At 53.4% G+C, this 21189-nt stretch overlaps 1 protein-coding gene across 2 annotated transcripts in view, besides 6 other annotated features; it reads left to right on the top strand.

Annotated features, from left to right (window-relative positions):
• GNG7 (G protein subunit gamma 7) overlaps positions 1-21189 on the top strand; it is a 191476-nt gene that overhangs the window by 125769 nt on the left and 44518 nt on the right. The gene's annotated exons all lie outside the window — the stretch shown is intronic.
• Positions 1108-1608: an enhancer, noted in NCBI's record as "H3K4me1 hESC enhancer chr19:2575316-2575816 (GRCh37/hg19 assembly coordinates)". NCBI's record gives its function as "activates a minimal SCP1, AML or CMV promoter by ChIP-STARR-seq in naive H9 embryonic stem cells {active_cell/tissue: H9 hESC(naive)}" and the evidence as "EXISTENCE:reporter gene assay evidence [ECO:0000049][PMID:30033119]".
• Positions 8678-9205: an enhancer, noted in NCBI's record as "H3K27ac-H3K4me1 hESC enhancer chr19:2567719-2568246 (GRCh37/hg19 assembly coordinates)". NCBI's record gives its function as "activates a minimal SCP1, AML or CMV promoter by ChIP-STARR-seq in naive H9 embryonic stem cells {active_cell/tissue: H9 hESC(naive)}" and the evidence as "EXISTENCE:reporter gene assay evidence [ECO:0000049][PMID:30033119]".
• Positions 9206-9733: an enhancer, noted in NCBI's record as "H3K27ac-H3K4me1 hESC enhancer chr19:2567191-2567718 (GRCh37/hg19 assembly coordinates)". NCBI's record gives its function as "activates a minimal SCP1, AML or CMV promoter by ChIP-STARR-seq in naive H9 embryonic stem cells {active_cell/tissue: H9 hESC(naive)}" and the evidence as "EXISTENCE:reporter gene assay evidence [ECO:0000049][PMID:30033119]".
• Positions 14202-14291: an enhancer, noted in NCBI's record as "active region_13703". NCBI's record gives its function as "activates an Ori minimal core promoter by ATAC-STARR-seq in GM12878 lymphoblastoid cells {active_cell/tissue: GM12878}" and the evidence as "EXISTENCE:reporter gene assay evidence [ECO:0000049][PMID:35858748]".
• Positions 16710-17210: an enhancer, noted in NCBI's record as "H3K4me1 hESC enhancer chr19:2559714-2560214 (GRCh37/hg19 assembly coordinates)". NCBI's record gives its function as "activates a minimal SCP1, AML or CMV promoter by ChIP-STARR-seq in naive H9 embryonic stem cells {active_cell/tissue: H9 hESC(naive)}" and the evidence as "EXISTENCE:reporter gene assay evidence [ECO:0000049][PMID:30033119]".
• Positions 19640-20253: an enhancer, noted in NCBI's record as "H3K27ac-H3K4me1 hESC enhancer chr19:2556671-2557284 (GRCh37/hg19 assembly coordinates)". NCBI's record gives its function as "activates a minimal SCP1, AML or CMV promoter by ChIP-STARR-seq in naive H9 embryonic stem cells {active_cell/tissue: H9 hESC(naive)}" and the evidence as "EXISTENCE:reporter gene assay evidence [ECO:0000049][PMID:30033119]".

Below are 21189 nucleotides of genomic sequence, written 5' to 3'. Positions count from 1 at the left end.
GATCACTTGAGCCCAGGAGTTTGAGACCAGCCTGGGCCACATAGCGAGACCCTGTCTTTAGAACAAATTTTAAAAATTAGCCAGGGTGATGCTGCACTCCTGTAATCTTAGCTACTCAGGAGGCTGAGGCAGCAGGATCGCTTGCGTTCAGGAGTTTGAGACCAGCCTGGGCAACCCAGGGAGACCCCATCTGTAAAAAAAAGTTTTAAAAATTACCCAGATGGGCTGGTACGCACCTGTAGTCCCAGCTACTCAGGAGGCTGAGGTGGGAGGATCGCTTGAGCCCAGGAGGTGGAGGCTGCATTGAGCTGTGATTGCACCCCTGCACTCAGCCTGGGCAGTGAAGCAAGACCCCTGTTTCTTAAATAAATAAATAAATAAATACATAATAAAATAAAAAAGACCAAGTTTAGTTCCCAAGGGTTCCTGGTTTCCCAGACGTGTGAGGGTGGCCACCAGCTGCTGCAGTGCCCGTCCCCCGCCTGCCGCGGCCCGCCCTGTCCTCCCTGGGGTCAGCAAGCATCCAGGGACCACGGTGAACTCTAGGAGGGAGTGGGTCAGCCCCACCCAGGGCGGATTCCCAGCACACCGTGTGCAGGCCTGGGTCGAAGGGTTCTGCTGGAATCAACCCGGCATGTTTGTTTTTGCTGCAGTCCCCTGGGGCCGTCCGGGCTGCACGCCTGCACGTCATCCGAGGCCGCCCCACTGCGGTGGGTTGGGAAACTCAGTCTTGGAGCCTGCCAGCCTCACAACTCCTGCTCTGGGAGCACGTGCCCGTGCCGCATGTGTCTGTGTGTGTCTGCATGCATCTGTGTGTCTGGTTCTGTGTGTGTCTGTGTGTGTGTCTGCATGTCTGCGTGTACCTGAGTGTGAGCATGTGTCTGTGTGTGTCTGTGTGTGTGTCTGCATGTCTGCGTGTACCTGAGTGTGAGCATGTGTGTGTCTGCCTGCATGTGCCTGTGTCTGCATGTGTCTGCCTTTGTGTGTCTGTATGTGCCTGTGTGTCTGTGTATGCCTGCGTGTGCCTGCGTGTCTGCGTGTGCCTGCGTGTGCCTGTGTCTGCGTGTGCCTGCGTGTCTGCGTGTGCCTGCCTGTCTGCGTGTGCCTGCGTGTGTCTGCATGTCTGTGTGTGCCTGCGTGTCTGCATGTGCCTGCGTGTGCCTGCGTGTCTGCGTGTGCCTGCGTGTGCGTGTGCCTGCGTGTCTGCGTGTGCCTGCCTGTCTGCGTGTGTCTGCGTGTGCCTGCGTGTCTGCATGTGCCTGCGTGTGCCTGCGTGTCTGCGTGTGCCTGTGTGTGCCTGCATGTCTGTGTGTGCCTGCGTGTGCCTGCGTGTCTGCGTGTGCCTGCGTGTCTGCGTGTGCCTGCGTGTGTCTGCGTGTGCCTGCCTGTCTGCGTGTGCCTGCGTGTGTCTGCATGTCTGTGTGTGCCTGCGTGTCTGCATGTGCCTGCGTGTGCCTGCGTGTCCACACGCCCTGAGGAGGCGCCCGTTCTGCTTTGTACACTTCCCTGGAGCTTTCCAGATCAATCCCAAAGGATGCCCAAAAAGACTCGAGCAGGGCACTGTGGCTCACACCCGTAATCACAGCACTTTGAGAGGCCGAGGCAGGAGGATTGCTTGAACCCAGTAGTTCCTGGCAACAGCAAGTCCCTGTCTCTACAAAAAAATTTTAAAAATTAGCTGGATAGGCTGGTGCAAACCTGTGGTCCTAGCTACTCTGGAGGCTGAGGTGGGAGGATAGCTTGAGCCCAGGAGGTCCAGGCTGCAGTAAGCTATGACGGTGCCACTGCACTCCAGCCTGGGCAATAGAGCAAGACCCCATCTAAAAAAAAAAAAAAGAAAGAAAGAAAAAAAGGAAAGAAAAAGAAAAAAGAAAGAGAGATTCCAACCAGCCTTTCTTCCCTGGTTCCCTGACAGCTCAGAGTTAACCATTGTGCCCCTAAGCCTAACAGCAGCTGGAGCTGATAGCCTTTCACAGGGCCTGCCAGCAGCCTTGGAGAAACCACGAGCCCATTTAACAGGCAGGACGCTGAGGCTCTGATAACAAGTGCGGTTTCGGACAAGAGCGGGAGAGGAGATGGAGAAACAGACCCTCGTGCGTGGCTGGTGGGGATGGAACAAGGCCCAGCCTGGCAGCTTCTCACATGGTAAACACGGAATTACCATAGGGCCCAGCAATCCCACTCCTGGGGATAGACCCCACAGAACTGACAGCAGGGACTGAAAGAGGTGTTTGCACACACAAGTGCACAGCGGCATGATTCCCAACAGCCCCAGGGTGGAAGCCACCCCAGGCGCCCATCAGTGGATAAACACAGCATGGTCCAACCAGACAGTGGAATATTACGCAGCCATGAAAAGGAAGGGAATCCAGACACGGGCTACAGCGTGGATGAACCTTGAGGACCTCACGCTCAGTGAGAGGATCCAGACACAAAAGGACGTATCCTGTGTGATCCCACTCCTGGGAAGTCCCTAGAGTCGTCAGATTCACAGAGACAGGAAGTAGGATGAGTGAGTGCCAGGGGCTGGGGAGGGGGACAGGGAGTGAGTGTTTCATGGGGACAGAGTTTCAGTTTGGGAAGAGGAGAAAGTTCTGGAGAGGATGGTGGTGATGGCGGCACAACATTGTAGTGAGAAAAGAGAGAGGGAGAGGAAGGGCTGAAAGCCCCAAGCCCCATCTTCCGGCTCCAGCGTCATATGAGATGCGTGTTCCCGCGGCCTCACCGTTGAGTTTGAAGGCGTGATGTCAGAATGCAGGCCCAGCAGGGACACCCCGGGAGATGGTGGGGGTGGCTGGCAGGGCGGGTTTCACCTGGACTGCACCAGCCCAGGTGTGACGGGCTCTGGGCCAGACCCAGGCACCCAAGGTGAGAAGGCAGCATCTCTGGTCTCGGGATACCCAGGCCTCCCCGAGGCGGCAGAACTCCGGCCGTACCTCGCAGCAGCTGGTCCGTGGCACCCACGGTATGTCCCATTCATGCAGTGCCTTTCCAGCCTCTTCCAGAAAGAATTTAATTCACCCGTTCGCATATGACCACGGGAGGGAAATGCCAATCCCACTTTTATTGTTTGTTTTTGTTTTAAGATGGAGTCTTGCTCTGTCACCCAGGCTGGAGTGCAGTGGCGTGATCTCGGCTCACTGCCACCTCCGCCTCCCAGGTTCAAGCGATTCTCCTGCCTCAGCCTCCCGAGTAGCTGGGATTACAGGCGCCCACGACCACGCCTGGCTAATTTTTGTATTTTTAGTCGAGACGGGGTTTCGCCGTGAACAAGACACTAACTCTTTCACCATGTTGACCAGGCTGGTCTCGAACTCCTGACCTCAGGTAATCTGCCCGCCTCGGCCTCCGAAACTGCTGGGATTACAGGTGTGAGCCACCACCCCCAGCCCCAATCCCACTTTTAGATCGTTCTCCACAGATAGCGCAGAAGCAGCTTGTCGGAAGCCACGCAGCTGTGAGGGGACAGGGTACAGACAAGATCTTAAGTCTTCTAGCCGCTTCCCTAAGACTAGCCCCGCCTCCTCCATCAGTGCAGAAACTTGGCTGGGGAGTGGGCTCGGAACTGTGGTCCCCTCAATACCTATTTCATGAAGGAAGCCAGGCCAGGCGTGGGGGCTCAGGCCTGTAATCCCAGCACTTTGGGAGGCTGAGGCGGGCGGATCACCTGAGGTTGGGAGTTCGAGACCAGCCTGGGCAGCATGGTGAAACCCCGTCGCTACTAAAAATACAAAAAATTAGCCGGGTGTGGTGGCGCCTGTAATCCCAGCTACTCAGGAGGCTGAGGCAGGAGAATCGCTTGAACCTGGGAGACGGAGGTTGCAGTGAGCCATGATCGCACCACTGCACTCCAGCCTAGGCGACGGGGCAAGACTCTGTCTCAAAACAAAAAAAAAAAAAAAAAAAGGAGAAATTTCCAGAACAGGCAGATCCACAGAGAATATGCATGGATGTGTGGTTGGAGGAGACGGGGGTGACTGCTAATGCGGACGGGGTTTCCATTTAAGGCGATGAAACAGTTCTGGAATTCAGCCAGCACAGTGGCTCACACCTGTAATCTCAGCAACCTGGGAGTCCGAGGTGGGAGGATTGCTTGAGACCAGGAGTTCAAGACCAGCCTGGGCAATATAGTGAGACCCCATCTCTAGAAGAAAAGAATTTTAAGTTAGCCGTGCATGCTGGTTCATGTCTGCAGCCCCAGCTACTCGGGAGGCTGAGATGGGAGGATCGCTTGAGCCCAGGAATTCAAGGCTTCACCGAGATAAGGAGGTGCCACTGTAGTCCGGCCTGGGCAACAGATCGTTAACTCTTAAAAAAAAAAAAAAAAAGGGCCGGGCGCGGTGGCTTACACCTGTAGTCCCAGCTACTCAGGAGGCTGAGGCAGGAGAATCGCTTGAACCGGGGAGGCAGAGGTTGCAGTGAGCCGAGATCAGGCCACTGCACTCCAGCCTGGCGACAGAGCGAGACTCCGTCTCAAAAAAAAGAAAAGAAAAAGTGTTGGAACTACGTAGTGTTGATGGTTGCACAGCTCTGTGAAGGAATTAAAAACTTGCTCGACCAGCCTAGGCAACGTAGCGAAACCCGTCTCTACAAAAAACAAAAAAATTAAGCAAGCATGGTGGCATGCACCTATAGTCCCAGATACGTGGGAAGCTGAGGCAGGAGGATTGCTTGAGCCCAGGAGTTAAAGACCAGCCTGGGCAACACAGCAAGACCCTGTCTCTAAAAAACAAAAAATTAGCCTGGTGTTGTGGTGTGCCCCTGTGGTCCCAGCCACTCGGCAGGCTGAGCTGGGAGGATCGCTTGAGCTCGGGAGGTGGAGGCTGCAGTGAGCTATGATCACACCACTGCACTCCAGCCTGGTGGACACAGTGAGACCCCATCTCAAAGAAAAACAAAACAAAACAAAACAACAAAAACACAAAGAGAGAGGGACAATGTGGCATTGTCAAAAGAACAGACAAATAGGCCAATGGGACAGGATAGGTAGGTAGCCCATATTTTATATGACTCATATAAAACGGTCAACTGGCCGGGCGCAGTGGCTCACACCTGTAATCCCAACACTTTGGGAGGCCAAGGTGGGCAGATCACCTGAGGTCAGGAGTTCGAGACCAGCCTGGCCAACATGGTGAAACCCCGTCTCTACTGAAAATACAAAAATTAGCCAGGCGTGGTGGCACTCGCCTATAATCCCAGCTACTCAGAAGGGTGAGGCAGGAGGATCACTTAACCCCGGGAGGCAGAGGTTGCAGTGAGCCGAGACCGCACCTCTGCACTCTAGCCTGGGCGACAGAGCAAGACTCCATCTCAAAAAAAAAAAAAAAAAAAAAAAAAGGAAAGAAATGAAAAGAAAAGTGACCACACATCTGATAACTCTTTCACTTAACGTAGCCTGCAGGCACCCTCCAAGCCACCCCTGCACGCTACCCATCCTAGAAATGCAACGTGGCCTAACCACGCCTCTGCAGGCAGATTGAGATGGTTCCAGTTTGGAAGCATTCACAGTTCTGCAATCAGAACAAGGATAAGGATATAGGTAGACATCTTTGCCCACGTGTCCAACAAGGTCTTTGCAATAAATTCGTAGGTATGGAATTGTCGCATCAGCAGGTAGCACCTTCTCGGTTCCGACAATGCCGCCACATTTTCTTCCAAAAATGTTGACCAGGGACCCTCTGTTATCTGTGCTGGAGAGGCCCCCATTCCGCAGATCCTAGAAGACACTGGGCGTCGTCAGGCTTCCATCGGTGACAGTCCGAGAGGCCAGGGTGGAATCCTGTTATTGGTGCATGTGTTGTTGTTTGTTAAAGCTGGACAACTCCGCCGGGCACGGTGGCTCACGCCTATCATCTCAGCACTTTGGGAGGCCAAGGTGGGTGGATCACTTGAGTCTAAGAGTTTGAGACCCACCTGGACAACATAGTGAGACCCCATCTCTAAAAAAAAAAAATACAAACATTAGCCAGGCGTGGTGGCGTGCACATGTAATCCCAGCTACTGGGGAGGCTGAGGCAGGAGGATCGGTTGAGCTCAGGAGGTCAAGGCTGCAGTGAGCTGTGATTGCACCACTGTACTCCAGCCTGGGTGACAGAGCAAGACCCTGTCTCAAAAAATTAAAAAGCCAAGCTGAACATCTGTTTTTAGGCTTGGGGTTTTGTTTCCTTGTGTGAATTGTGGGTTCACGTCCTTTACCATCTCTCCACTGTCCGAGGAGCGCTGTCTGCTCCTGGAAAACCTTCCAGTACCTTCTGTTCATGGCTGAGACTTGGCTCCTGGGCTGTCTGTCTCTCTCAAGCTCCTCCTGGGGCCCATTATGGGGCTGCGTCCTTAGGGATTTAGCTTCTCCTTTGCTCTCATGAGTTCTCGGCTAAGTGGGTGTGGAGATGCCCATTTTACAGATGGAAGAGCTGAGGTTTGCAGATGCCACTTCCCCAGTGAACACGGGCCCCATCCACATGTGGCTGGAAAGGGAAGTTTCCTTCCTGACCTGAGGCCCAGTCAAGCTCTGCGTGTCTCCCCGTGCCTGACTGTCATAGTCTGTTTTGTGTTGCTATAAAGGAATAGAGCTGAGGCTGAGGGGTTTATAAAGCATAGAAGTTTATCTGGTTCACAGTTCTACAGACCATACAGTTCTACAGACCATACAAGCATGGTGCCAGCATCTCCTGGGCTTCTGGTGAGGCCTCAGGAAGTTTCCACTCATGGCAGAAGGTGAAGGGGGAACGGGCATCTCATACGGCCAGAGAGGGAGCGAGAGAAAGGAGGGAGGAGGTGCCAGGCTTTTTTTAACAACCAGGTCGTCCGTGAACTAACAGAGTGGGAACTCGCTCATTCCCGAGGGGAGAGCACCAAGCCATGAGGGACCCCCCTCCCGCCACAACCCAAATGCCGCCCACCCAGCCTCACCTCCAACATAGGGGGTCGCATTTCAGTGTGAGATCCGGAGGCACAAACATTGGCCCCATGTCACTGACATTGCTCAGTCCTGTGCTGCTGGATTCTAGGATTTTGTGGCTATTTTTGTCGCAGTTGTTCTAGTGTGGTGGTTCTCAGCTGGGGCTGATCCTGCTCCCAGGGGACACCGGGAGATGTCTGGTGACGTTTGTGGTTGTCATGACTGGGGGACGGGTGATGTCTGGGGACATCTGTGGTTGTCCCGATGGGGATGCTCTTGGCATGGAGTGAGTGGAAGCCAGGGACGCTGCTCAGCACCCTGCAGTGCCCAGGATGGCTCCACCCCAGAGAACGGTCTGGCTACAGTGTCCACAGTGCTAAGAGAGACCCTATTTAGTATGATAGCGACATAATTGTCATGTCTCACACTTTTTGTTTAAGAATGGAGATGATTGGCCAGGTGCGGTGACTCACGCCTGTAATCCCAGCACTTTGGGAGGCCGAGGCGGGTGGATCCCGAGGTCAGGAGATCGAGACCATCCTGGCTAACCCGGTGAACCCTCGTCTCTACTAAAAATACAAAAAATTAGCCGGGTGTGGTGGCGGGCGCCTGTAGTCCCAGCTACTCGGGAGGCTGAGGCAGGAGAATGGTGTCAACCCAGGAGGCGGAGCTTGCAGTGAGCCGAGATCGCGCCACTGCACTCCAGCCTGGGCGACAGAGCGAGACTCTGTCTCACAAAAAAAAGAAAGAGAGAGAGAGAGAGAATGGAGATGATCGCCATCCACTGTGTAGCTGTTCCTGCTCCAGCAGTTATGCTGCACCCTTTGTGGAACTGATCCCCAGCAGGTGCCTCATGCTGGGGCCTCTCCCTTCACTGAGTTGTGTGTGTGTGCGCGCACCTGTGGGTATATGCATGTGTGCATTTGTGTGTATGTGTGTGTGTGCTTGCATGCTTGTGTGTATGTGTGTGCGCTTCTGTGTATATGTTTGTGCTTTTGTGTATATGTGTCTGCTTGTGTGTATATGTGTGTAAATATGTGTATGTGTATGTTTTTGTGCACAGATCTGTATGCGTATATTTGTGTGTATTTGTATATTTGTATATGTATGTATATGTGTATAGTGTGGATATGTGTGTGCACATGAGTATGTGTGTGTACTTGTGTGTATATTTGTGTGTATTTGCATATGTGTATATATTTGTGTGTATATGTGTGTGTATATATGTGCGTGTATATGTGTGTATGTGTATTTATGTGTATATGTGTATGTGTGTATGTGTGTATGTATGTATATGTGTCTGTATGTGTATATGTGTGTCTATATTTTATGTATGTGTGTATGTGTATATATGTGTATGTGTATGTGTATATGTGTATTTGTGTATATGTGTATATATGTGTGTATGTGTATATATGTGTGTATGTCTATATATGTGTGTATTTGTGCATGTGTATGTGTGTATATGTGTGTATATATATGTGTATGTGTGTATATGTGCACGTGTATGTGCACACACAGAGACCCTGTGTATGTGCGTAAGTCTGTGTGTATGTGCATGTGTGTGTGTATGTATATGTATGTGTGTATGTATATGTATGTGTGTATGTCTATGTGTATATGTGTGTGTGTTTGTGTTGTATATGTGTGTCTATATGTGTGTATGTGCACGTGTGTGTATGTATGTCTATATGTGTGTATATGTGTGTGTGCGTGTGTATGTGTGTGCGTGTGTATATGTGTGTAAGTCTATATGTGTCTCTATATGTGTGTATGTCTATATGTGTGTATGTGCACGTGTGTGCATGTCTGTATGTGTATGTCTATATGTGTGTGTATGTGCATGTGTGTATGTGTGTGTATGTATGTGTATGTGTGTGCATGTGTATATGTGTGTATGTCTATATGTGTGTATGTGCATGTGTGTAAGTGTGTGTGTGTGCATGTGTATATGTGTGTATGTCTATATGTGTGTGTATCTGCACGTGTGTGCATGTGTGCTTGCATGCCCGTGTCTCTGTTTTTGGGTGGCTGGAGTGCCTGGTGAGATGCATTTTCCAGGAAGGCGTTGTGAACGCCCTACTTCCTGAGTTCCTGCTGAATGGCAACGCCCTTCTCTCCCTTCCATGCCTGAGCGCGTGGTGCCCGGGAACAGATGGGTGACTTCCCTGTTGCCCAGTTGACATTGCCCTGCCCCCGTCGGAGTCTGGTGCTCTGAAGAGGAGACTTGTGACCTTTTAGGTCTCATCCTAGACCACAAGGCAGCGAGCTTTTCCTGTAAAGGGCCAGAGGGTTGCTGTTTTCGGCTCTGTGGCCCAGTCTCCGGCTCCAGCACTCAGCTCTGCCGCTGGAGCACAGAAGCGTCAGAGGCAGTGCCTAAGTAGGATACGACAGAGGACACCGGCCCAGTGCAGCGGCTCACGCTTGCAATCCCAGCACTTTGGGAGGCCGAGGTGGGACGATCGCTTGAGCTCAGGAGCTCAAGACCAGCCTGGGCAAAATGGCGAAACCCCATCTATACAAAAAAATGCAAAAATTAGCTGGTGTGGTAGTGTGCACCTGTAGTCCCAGCTGCTCAGGAGGCTGAGGCAGGGAGGTCGCTTGAGCCTGGGAGGTCGAGGCAGCGTGATTGCACCACGGGCACTCCAGCCTGGGTGACAGAGTGAGACCCTATGTCACACACACACACACACACAAATCGACGACAACTGAGAAGAAATAAACCTGCAGATGGAAAAGGTGTGTTCTGGAAGCATCACTACAGGAATGATCACGGCCAACCCAATGACTTGAAATTAAGGAGATTCTAGAGCAGAGGTCAGCCAGCAAGGGCCCATGATGGACAGTGTGGGTTTTTTGTTATTGTTTTTGTGTTTTTTTTTTTGTTTTTTTTTTGTTTTTTTTGTTTTTTTTTTTGAGACGGAGTCTCGCTCTGTCGCCCAGGCCGGACTGTGGACTGCAGTGGCGCGATCTCGGCTCACTGCAAGCTCCGCCTCCCGGATTCAAGCGATTCTCCTGCCTCAGCCTCTCGAGTAGCTGGGATTACAGACGCCCGCCACCGCGCCCGGCTAATTTTTTTGTATTTTTAGTAGACACGGGGTTTCACCATGTTGGTCAGGCTGGTCTCGAACTCCTGGCCTCAGATGATCCGCCTGCCTCGGCCTCCCAAAGTGCTGGGATTACAGGCTTGAGCCACCATGCCCAGCGACAGTGTGTTTTTGTAAATAAAGTTTTATTGGCACCCACCATGCCCACTCATTGAGAAATCGTCCACAGCAGCCTCTCCTGCCTCTGTGGCTGAGTCGAGCAGTTGCAACAGAGACCATCTGACCCACAAAGCCAGAGAAGTTTGCTCTCTGGCCTTTTACAGGAAAATGTTGCCAACCCTGGCCTTACAACCTCTAGCCAGTCCTTTAGCAGTGGGGGTGGGAGGGGAAGGAGGTGTCCCCCGACCATTGCTGTGGCCCCAGTTCTGGTCTGCTGTCTCGGACCCTTCCCCCGGAGCCAGGCTGAGACGCCTTTTAGGGCTTTGTGTGAGTTTCATGGGGTGCTCGTACAAGGTCCACAGACCTAGCCGTTTAGACACCACGGGTTCATTCTCTCTCCGCTCTGGAGACCGGAAGTCCAAGGCCAAGGTGTAGGCAGGGCTGGGTTCTTCCGAAGCCAGTGGGGAGAATCCATCCCAGGGCCACTCCCAGCTCCTGGTGATGGCCGGAGATCCTTGGCCTTCCCTGGCTTGTGGAAGTGACACCCCCAATCTCTGCCTTGTCACCCCAATCTCCTATCTATACAGCATTCTCCCTCCCGTGTGCATCTGTGTCCAAATGTCCCCTTTATTTATTTTTTATATTTATTTATTTATTTATTTATGAGACGGAGTCTGGCTCTGTCGCCCAGGCTGGAGTGCAGTGGTGCGATTTTGGCTCACTGCCACCTCCGCCTCCCAGGTTCAAGCGATTCTCCTGCCTCAGCCTCCCGAGTAGCTGGGATTACAGGTGCCCACCACCACGCCTGACTAATTTTTGTATTTTTAGTAGAGACGGGGTTTCACCATGTTGGCCAGGCTGGTCTCGAACTCCTAACCTCAGATGATCCGCCTGCCCTGGCCTCCCGAAGTGCTGGGATAACAGGCGTGAGCCACCGTGCCCGGCCTCTACCATGGTTTAAAATGTCTGCACACATCATTCCGCCCGTCCCCTGCAGAAGCGCTGAGCACATTACACTCTGCAGACGCTTCCTGTAGGACTCGGCCGGGCTCACACAGCCTCCACCCTGAGCTGCCGGTAACTGTCACCTGGAGTCTCAACTGCCCTGTGCCCGGCACACCCCAGACCACTCAATCAGGTTCTTCCGGGTGGGATGGGCCTCTCCCAGTGATTGCAGGTTTTAGGAACCCTGGGCGAACTGGTTCCTAATCCTAAATTTCTGCAGTTCTCATGGATTCAGTCCTGGAGGGAAGGAACTAACCGACCCTTCCTTTGACGCAAACAGCTTTTGTTTTTGTTTTTTTTTTTTTGAGACAGAGTCTCTCTCTATTGCCCAGGCTGGAGTGCAATGGCACGATCTCGGCTCACTGCAACCTCCGCCTCTCGGGTTCAAGTGATTCTCTTGCCTCAGTCTCCTGAGTAGCTGGAATTACAGGCGTGTGCCACCACGTCCAGCTAATTTTTGTATTTTTTTAGTAGAGACGGGGTTTCACCATGTTGGCCAGGCTGGTCTCGATCTCCTGACCTCATGATCCACCCGCCTCGGCCTCCCAAAGTGCTGGGATGACAGGTGTGAGCCACCGCGCCTGGCACAGCTTTGGTTTTTGAGCCTGCAGGGTGCACACGTTGTGTGAGGGTTGCACGTGTGTTTTCCGTTTTCCCCATGTAGTCTGAGCCCGTGATTCCAACAGGAAGGCGTCATCTTCTCCACCTCAGGGTCTTCTGTTGTCATGGCTACAGGGAGACACAGAAGCTTAGCGGATATTTTATTGTATTTATTTCATTTCATTCCATTTCAAGACAGGGTCTCACTGTGTTGACCAGAGTGGTCTCAACCTCCTAGTCTCAAGTGGTCCTCCTGCCTCAGCCTCCCAGAGTGCTGGGATTGCAGGCATGAGCCACCGCATCTGGCCTGATTCTTTTTTTTTTTTTTAAATGACCAATGTATTCATTTCCTAGAGTGCCATGCAAATTATTACAGATTGCGGGGCTTTAAATAACAGACATTTTGTGACAGTCTCCTCTCCTACTTTTGGAGGCCAGAAGTCTGAGATCAAGGTGTCTGCAGGGCTAGGCTCCCTCCAGAGACTCCAGGGGCAGGGTCCTTCCGGCCTCTCCCAGCTTCTGGGGGCTCTAGGAGTCTGGCTTGTGGCCGTGTCACCCCAGTCTCTGCCTCCATCTCCACACAGCCATGTCCTCTCCTCTGCATCTCTAAATCTCTCCTTCTTGGTGTTTGTTTGTCTGTTTTGAGACAGAGTCTTGCTCTGTCACCCAGGCTGGAGTGCGGTGGCACCATCTTGGCTCATTGCAACCTCCGCCTCTTGGGTTCAAGCAATTCTCGTGCCTCCGCCTCCCGAGTGGTACAGGTGCACGCCACCATGCCTGGCTAATTTTTGTATTTTTGGTAGAGATGGGGTTTCACCACGTTGGCCAGGCTGGTCTCGAACTCCTGGCCTCAAGCGATCCTCCCGCCTCGGCCTCCCAAAGTTCTGGGTTTACAGGTGTGAGCCACCAATCTCAGCCTGTGTCTCTCCTTCTTAAAAGGACACCAGTCATTGGATTTAGGGCCCACCCTACAAACAGGATGATGATTTCATCCCAAGATCCGTATCATCTTCCATCTGCAGAGACCCCATCTCTGAGAAGGTTACGTGCCAAGCTTCCAGGAGGACGTGAGCTTTTGCGGGACACTATTCAACCCACTGCATTCAATACACATTCTTTTTCTTGAGTTGAAAATTAGCTACACTCCTGTTTAGGAGCCTGCCCTTACACACACGAACACCATTCTCATTGGCTAACCATCCTTTGATTTTTCCCTGCTGTTTCTCCCACCCCACCCAACACCCCCAAATACCACCTTCACCGTCTCCTCCATTCCTTGATTTGCAATGCTGCTGTGTTGTTTATGTATGAGCTTCAAATCCTCTCTGGACCAAGGAAGTTTGGGTGCGAAGGTTTAAATAACTCAACAGTTCACAATTAGGCTAAAAATTCACACATAAAATGAGCCCACTGAAGTGTTCAAAGGTGTGACCTGGGCCGGGCGCGGTGGCTCATGCCTATTATCCCAGCACTTTGGGAGGCCGAGGTGGGCAGATCACTTGAGGTCAGGAGTTCAAGACCAGCCTGGGCAACATGGCGAAACCCCATCTCTACTAAAAATTCCAAAATTAGCCAGGCGTGGTGGTGCACACCCGTAGTTCCAACTACTATAGGGAGGCTGAGGCAGGAGAATCACTTGAACCCGGGAGTCAGAGGTTGCAGTGAGCCAAGATCGTGCCACTGCACTCCAGCCTGGGCGACAGAAATGAAACCTATCTCAAAACAAAAACAAAAAAAAGTGTGACCTCAATAATGCTTGGGAGTGGTTCTCTTAGGATCCTGAGTAGAATGTGGGGACATTTCTGGTAGTCACGACTACGGGGTGCTCCCAGCATGGAGTGGGTGGAGGCCAGGGACGCTGCTCAGCAGCCTACAGTGCCGAGGACGGCCCCACCCCAGAGAATGATCCAGGCCCAATGTCCAGAGTACAGAACGGGAGAGACCTGTGTTCATTATTTGAAAAATACTGGGCCGGACGCAGTGGCTCACACCTGTAATCCCAGCACTTTGGGAGGCTGAGGCAGGTGGATCGCGAGGTCAGGAGATCGAGACCATCCTGGCTAACACGGTGAAACCCCGTCTTTACTAAAAGTACAAAAAAAAAATTAGCTGGGCGTGGTGGTGGGCGCCTGTAGTCCCAGCTACTTGGGAGGCTGAGGCAGGAGAATGGCGTGAACCCGGGAGGAGGAGCTTGCAGTGAGCCGAGATCACGCCACTGCACTCCAGCCTGGGCGACAGAGCGAGACTCTGTCTCAAAAAACAAAAAAAAAGAAAAAGAAAAAGATTGAATCTGTCCCTTGCTCACACTGGACACCAGAATAAACTCCCGATGGGGCCGATGGTGTAAACCAGAGGGACTGCAGCTCCTGGGACTCACATCCTCTCTCCCTCCCCACTCAGAGTGTGGATTTCAATGTGTGCAGCCTTCTGGGAACTCAGCAGGGCAGAGGATTATGGACGCAGAGTCTCTTGGGGGTCTGTGGAATCCCCTAAGATTCCAGTGTACGCTGGGAGCGATCCTGTCCCCCCTGACCAGGGTACACTCAGTAAATGTCTGGGGGCACCTGCTGCTGGCATGGAGTGTGTGGAGGTCAGGGACACTGCTCAGCACCCTGCAGTGCCCAGGATGGCCCCACCCCAGAGAAGGATCTGGCCCCAGTGTCCACAGTGCCCGGGGGGAAAAACCCTGTTGTAGGTATTGAAAGTGAGTGTAGCTTTCAGCTGAACAGAAATCATGAGTATTAATCATTTAAAAGAAAAGGAAAAGGAGCGGGGCGCGGTGGCTCACGCCTGTAATCCCGGCACTTTGGGAGGCTGAGGCAGGAGAATCACTTGAACCTGGGAGGCGGAGGTTGCAGTGAGCCGAGATCGCGCCACTGCACTCCAGCCTGGGCGACAGAGCCAGACTCTGTCTCAAAAAAAAAAAGAAAGAAAAAGAAAGAAAAGAAAAAGGAACCCGCTGTAGATGTGTGTTCCTGGGGCTGAGCAGGTGGGGACCCCGGCAGCTCCGGGGCTGCGGTGACTCACGGCTCTGGCTCTGTGTGAACCTGCAGATCCCAAGGGTGTTACTGCAAACCCCTGAGTGGGTGGAGGGCGTGAATGCCTGCCCCGGACCCTGGTTTCTTTCTGAGAAGCAGAACGCAGAGAGACTTCTCAGAGAAATGTCGGAGGAAGGGGATTACCCGCTGGTCTCCCAGAAGAGCCTGCGAAGCTCAGAAACAGGGTTTCCTGTTTCTCGGGTCGCCCCGGGGCAGCTGCCTCTGCTGGGCACTTTGCTCTCAGGTGCTTTTCAGAGTGCAAAGAAGAGAAAGAAGCCAGTGTCATTTCTTTTTTTTTAGACAGAGTTTTGCTCTTGTCACCCAGGCTGGAGTGCAATGGTGCAATCTCGGCTCACTGCAACCTCTGCCTCCCAGGTTCAAGCGATTCTCCTGCCTCAGCCTCCCGAGTAGCTGGGATCACAGGCGCCTGCCGCTATGCCCAGCTAATTTTTTTTTTTTTTTTTAGTAGAGACGGAGTTTCACCATGTTGGGCAGACTGGTCTTGAACTCCTACTTCAGGTGATCCACCCGCCTCGGCCTCCCAAAGTGCTGGGATTACAGGAATGAGCCACTGCGCCCGGCCAACCAGTGTCATTTCTATCTTTCTGAGAGAGGCTCTTGTGGGGATTGTGTGTCCAAGAGTGCTAAGAGCTGGGAGGGTCAAAGACCCAGGCCAGGGTGCAGAGAGGAAGGGACAAGGGGAGGACAGGGCCCCTCCTGGGCACAGAAGGGCAGTGGTGCTGACACCAAAACTGTGACAGGACCTAACCAGGGTCTCCCCAGGGCACCGTGGATATTGGGGCCTGGGTCATTCTCTGGGGTTGGGCCAACCTGGGCACTGCAGGGTGCTGAACAGCGTCCCTGGCCTCCACCCACTCCATTCCAGGAGCACCCCCAGTCGTGACAGCCACAGATGTCCCCAGACATGGCCCAGCATCCCCTGGGAGCAGAATCATCCTGGTTGAGCCCCCCTGGGTTATGGGATTCCACGGACCCCCAAGAGACTCTGCGTCCCATGATCCTCTGCCCTGCTGAGGTCCCAGGAGGCTGCACACATTGCAATCCACACCTTGAATGGGGGAGGGAGAGAGGAGGTGAGTCCCAGGAGCTGGGATCCCTCTGGTTTACACACCGTCTGCCCCATCGGGAGCTTATTCTGATGCCTACTGTGAGCAGAAATTGCATTCAACTGTTTTCCCAAATAATTTTTTTTTTTTTTTTTTTGAAACAGTCTCCTTCTGTCGCCCAGGCTGGAGTGCAATGGTACGATCTCGGCTCACTGCAACATCCGCCTCCCAGGTTCAGGCAGTTCTCCTGCCTCAGCCTCCTGAGTACCTGGGATTACAGGCACCCACCACCACGCCTGGCTAATTTTTGTATTTTTAGTAGAGACGGGGTCTACCCATGTTGGTCAGGCTGGTCTCGAACTCCTGACATCAAGTGATCCACCCACCTCGGCCTCCCAAAGTGCTGGGATGACAGGCGTGAGCCACCGCGCCCAGCTTTTTTCCAAATAATGAATTCAGGGTCCCCCCAGGCCCTGTGGACATCGGGGCTGGATCCTTCTCTGGAGCAGGGCCGTCCTGGGCACCGCAGCGTCCGCCTACCCCATGCCAGGAGCACCCCCAAGTCTGGATAACCACAATGTCCCCAGCCACCGCCCAGGGTCCCCTGGGAGCAGGGCCACTCCCAGGTGAGAATCACTGCCTCAAGGGAAGGGCTGGGTGGGACACAGAAATAAGATGTGGAGGTAAGGGGTCCTGCTTGGGCCCCCTAAAGCAGGTCGGACCTCCTCTCCTGAGAATCGACCCTGGGGGCCGGTGGGAGACAGACCTGGGGGATGGGGTGATGTGGGGTCTGAGGCGGTCCCTTCCTTCCTGCCACGGCCAGGCCCTCAGCACACTAGGGGCGCGAGGGACAGGCTGGGTTTGTACTGTAGTCCCCTTTGTCATTCACGGAGTCCGTATTTGCGAATTCGCCGGCTTGGTGTGTATTTGTGAACCCCAAATCAATGCCTGGGGTACTTTCCCTCTTATCCTTGGACACGCAGAGAGAGACAAGAAATTAGAGTCATGGACGTGCGTTCCCTGAGCCCAGGCCACGCTCCGCCTCCCCGTTTCCCCTCCTAGGTGGACCACGCCCTCATTACTGTCTAGCGAGAGCCTCGGGGTTTGCGTTTTTGTGCTCTTTTTGGTGATTTTGCTGTTTGCAGTGGCCCCAGGCATCGTGCTGAGGCCCCTTCTCGTGTCCCTCAGGGCCTCGTGGAGGAACTGGTAGGTGAGAAAAGCTTTGCTCAGGCAGGACTGAGAGAGCAGCTGCCCTATTCAACACTCACATCATCGATAGGCATTCAAGAAGACACCTTTGAGCCAGGCACGGTGGCTCACGCCTGTAATCCCAGCACTTTGGGAGGCTGAGGCAGGCGGATCACGAGGTCAAGAGATCGAGACCAGTCTGACCAACATGGAGAAACCCTGTCTCTACTAAAAATGCAAAATTAGCTGGGCATGGCGGTGCATGCCTGTAATCCCAGCTACTCGGGAGGCTGAGGCAGGAGAATCGCTTGAACCCAGGAGGCGGAGGTTGCAGTGAGCCGACATCCACCATTGTACTCCAGCCTGGGCAACAAGAGCCAAACTCCATCTTGAGAGAAAAAAAAATTAGCCGGACATGGTGGTGGGTGCCTGTAATCCCAGCTACTCTGGAGGCCAAGGCAGTAGAATCACTTGAGCCCAGGAGACTGAGGCTGCAGTGAGCTGAGATTGCACCATTGCACTCCAGCCTGGGCAACAGAGCGAGACCCTGTCTCCAAAAAAAAAAAAAAAAAGACACACAGAACAGGTCATGTATTGATCAGATAAAGGAAAGTTTCCTGAAACTCAAAGGAAACTACCCCTACAAAAATGTTCTCTAGGAGTAATGATTTGTGTTCGCAAACTCAGTTTTTGTGGTGACTTCACAGAACAGAACTACCACAAATAATGAGAATCTAATCAACTGTGGATATATATGTATATGTATATATATGTGTGTGTGTGTATATATATATATTCTTTGTGACTATGAAAGGAATATAACTGGCTGGGCGCGATGGCTCACGCTTATAATCCCAGCACTTTGGGGGGGCCAAGGTGGGTGGATCACATGAGGTCAGGAGTTTGAGACCAGCCTGGCCATGTTGGTGAAACCCCGTCTCTACTGAAAATACAAAAATTAGCCAAGAGTGGTGGTGCATGCCTGTAATGCCAGCTACTTGGGAGTCTGAGGCAGGAGAATTGCTTGAGCCCAGGAGGCAGAGGTTGCAGTGAGCAGAGATCGCGCCATTGCACTCCATCCTGGGTGACAAAATGACACCTGTCCCAAAAAAAATAATAAATAAATAAAAAGGAAAGAGAGAGAAGAAAGAAAGAAAAAAGAAAGAAAGAGAAGGAAAGGAAGGAAGAAAGAAAAGAGAAAGAAAGAAAGAAGAGGAAAGAAAGTTATATAACTTCATTTTACAGAATCTGAGAATCACATAAGGAGAGGAAAATCATCCACAATCCCAGCACTTTATCCTTTCCCCAGACATCTACACACACTCTCTTATTTTTAAAAATTGAGGTTCTACAACATGGTTTGATCATCTGCCTTTAAACCCATTTTTGCTGGCCGGGTGCAGTGGCACACACCTGTCATCCAGCACTTTAGGAGGCCAAGGTGGGAGGATCGCTTGGGCCCAGGAGTTTGAGACCAGCCTGGGCAACATGGCAAAACCCCATCTCTACAGGAATAAAAATTAGCTGGGTGTGGTGGCATGTGGCTGTAGTCTCAGCTACTCAGGAGGCTGAGGAGGGAGGATCGCTTGAGCCCAGGAGGTTGAGGCTGCAGTGAGCTGTGATCACGCCATTGCACTCCAGCCTGGGTAACAGACCCTATCTCAAAAAAAAAACAAAAACAAAAACAAAAAAACACGGTGCCCATCTGTGGCAAGGATGATGAAAATAATACAGTGTGCACATGAAAAGCAGTATTTCCAGCCACCTAAAAGTAAGCCTGAGAGGCCGGGCGCGGTGGCTCACGCCTGTAATCCCAGCACTTTCGGAGGCCGAGGTGGGCGGATCACGAGGTCAGGAGATCAAGGCCATCCTGGCTAACACGGTGAAACCCCCTCTCTACTAAAAACACAAAAAATTACCCAGGCCTGGTGGCCCGTGCCTGTAGTCCCAGCTACTTGAGAGGCTGAGGCAGGAGAGTCGCTTGTACCCAGGAGGCAGAGGTTGCAGTGAGCCGAGATCGCACTACTGCAGTCCAGCCTGGGCGACAGAGTGAGACTCTGTCTCAAAGAGAAAAAAAGTAAGCCTGAGAGAGAAATGCACCGAGTCACCCCATCAGAATAAGGAGCTGTGGTTCCCTGGTCAAGGACCATGGCCTGGGGCAGGGTCAAAGTCCTGTGGGTTCTGAGGCTGACCCGGGGCTGCAGGTGAGGTGGCCCCAGCATCCTCGGTCACTGTCCTGATTTTATGGATCAGGAGCTGAGGTCACACCGGGCTGGCCTGGGCACATCGCACTTTGACTCAGAGTTTGTGATGGGTCAGAAGTCTAACTTCCCGTCTTTCTCTATCACGGTCCTGAAACGGTGCTACAACTCCATTCGCTGACCCGGCCAGGCGGAGCCTCTGAGTCTTTTGTGAGTGCAGGTGCCTTTGGGCAGGAGGAGGAAAAGTCCTGCAGCCCCTCGTTTCTTGAGTCTGTGCATGTTTACTAGCAGGACCTTGCTTCAGATGCAGGGCTGGGTGGAGGCGCTCGCTCCTGCGTGCATGTGTGCGTGCACGTGTGTGTGTGTCTGTGTGTGTGCACATGTGTGTGTCTGTGTGCACATGTGTGTCTGTGCGTGTATGTGCACCTCTGTGTGTGCACGTGTCTGTGTGTGCAAATGTGTGTGCACGTGTGTGTGCACATGTGCGTCTGTGTGTGCATGTGTGTCTGTGTGTGCATGCAAATGTGTGTGCACGTGTCTTGTGTGTACGTGTGTGCGCGTGTCTTTGTGTGCATGTGCGTGAGTGTGCAGTACACGTGTGTACGTGTGTGCGTGTGTCTGAGTATTCCTGTGTGCACGTGTGTGCGTGTGTCTGTGTGCGTGCATATGTGTGTGAGTGTGCGTGTGTCTGTGTGTGCGTGTGTGTGTGTAGAGGTGGGAGGGGAGGCAGCCCCCCTGGATGTCTCTAGGTCACTAAGAGGTTAGGGATCTCACACGGAGTGATTCTGCCCCCCAGGGGACCCGGGGCAGTGTCTGGGGACATTTGTGGCCAACACATCTGGGGGGTGCTCCTGGCACGGAGCAGGTGGATGCCAGGGACGCAGCTCACCACCCTGCAGAGCCCAGGATGCTCCCGCCCCGGAGAACAATCCGGCGCTGGTGTCCGTATTGCTGGGTGGGAGGAGAGACCCTGGCTTAGGAGAAGGTGACCTCAGTCACCGCCTTCCTGCAGCTGAGACCCGGGAGCCTCTGGGAAAGCCGGGACTCGGCCTCCCCAGCTGGGCTGCAAGGTGAGGAGGCTTCCCGCCGACCTCAGCTTCCTTGGCCTCCAATGCAGCCCCGGGGCGCAGGGCTGCTGAGAAAGTGTCGTGTGTGGGTGGCCCGGACTCCAGCCCAGGAGCAGCAGCCATGTGGCTCTTCTTTGTGTCGGTGGAAAAAAACCCATTGGTTTGTGGAAATAGCAAATGTTTGTGACGGAAGAGGGGCCTGGCCGGCTTCAGAGACCACAGGGGCCCTTCAGGGCAGGAGGGAAACAGCCTTGGCCACGTGAACCCGGCCCAGCCCGGCCTCGAGCAGCTCAGGAAGCTGGGCCTGGGTTGGGCCCGGTGCAGGGGCGTCTGCTGACCTCGCCGGGCAAGCCCACTGCAGGGTGAGCCCCGCTAGGCAGGACGGGGCCTCCCCTAGAGCTGACAGTGGTGCAGCTCCTGGCTTCTCCAAGTGGGGCTGCCGGCTCAGCAGCAGAGCAGTGGTGGCCTAACCGGGAGACACAGAACCTGGCATCTGGGTTCATTGTGCGCAAGTCCCGGCCCCATGACCTCGGCCGGTGTAGACGCTCCGCAAGGCAGGGGCCTTTGCCTGCCTCGGGCCTCCTTGTCCACGAAATAGGAGGCTGCCGCGAAGCTGGAGGGGGCAGATCGCTGCCTGGATCTCCCTCCAGACCTTAGTGGGAGTCAGGAAAGACCACGGAAGGTGGTCCCCGTGGGCCCCCCTCGCGATCCGTGCACTGTGCATTGGAGACGGCCGTGGGCCCCCCCTCGCGATCCGTGCACTGTGCATTGGAGACGGATACGGGGCCTGGCCCTGTGCAGGGTCCGGCTTGGAACAGAGGATTCCGTTCCATGGAAAACCGCAGCTCCAAAGGCCCCAACCGCCCCGACCCCCGGAGACCAATCACCGGGGCCTGGAGACGTTCTTTCCTTCCTATTG

This window comes from Homo sapiens, chromosome 19 (genome assembly GCF_000001405.40).
Source record: "Homo sapiens chromosome 19, GRCh38.p14 Primary Assembly".
NCBI classification, from domain to species: Eukaryota; Metazoa; Chordata; class Mammalia; order Primates; family Hominidae; genus Homo; species Homo sapiens.
Note: the sequence above shows the minus strand (reverse complement) of the source record. Positions and strands in the feature narration are given on the sequence as shown.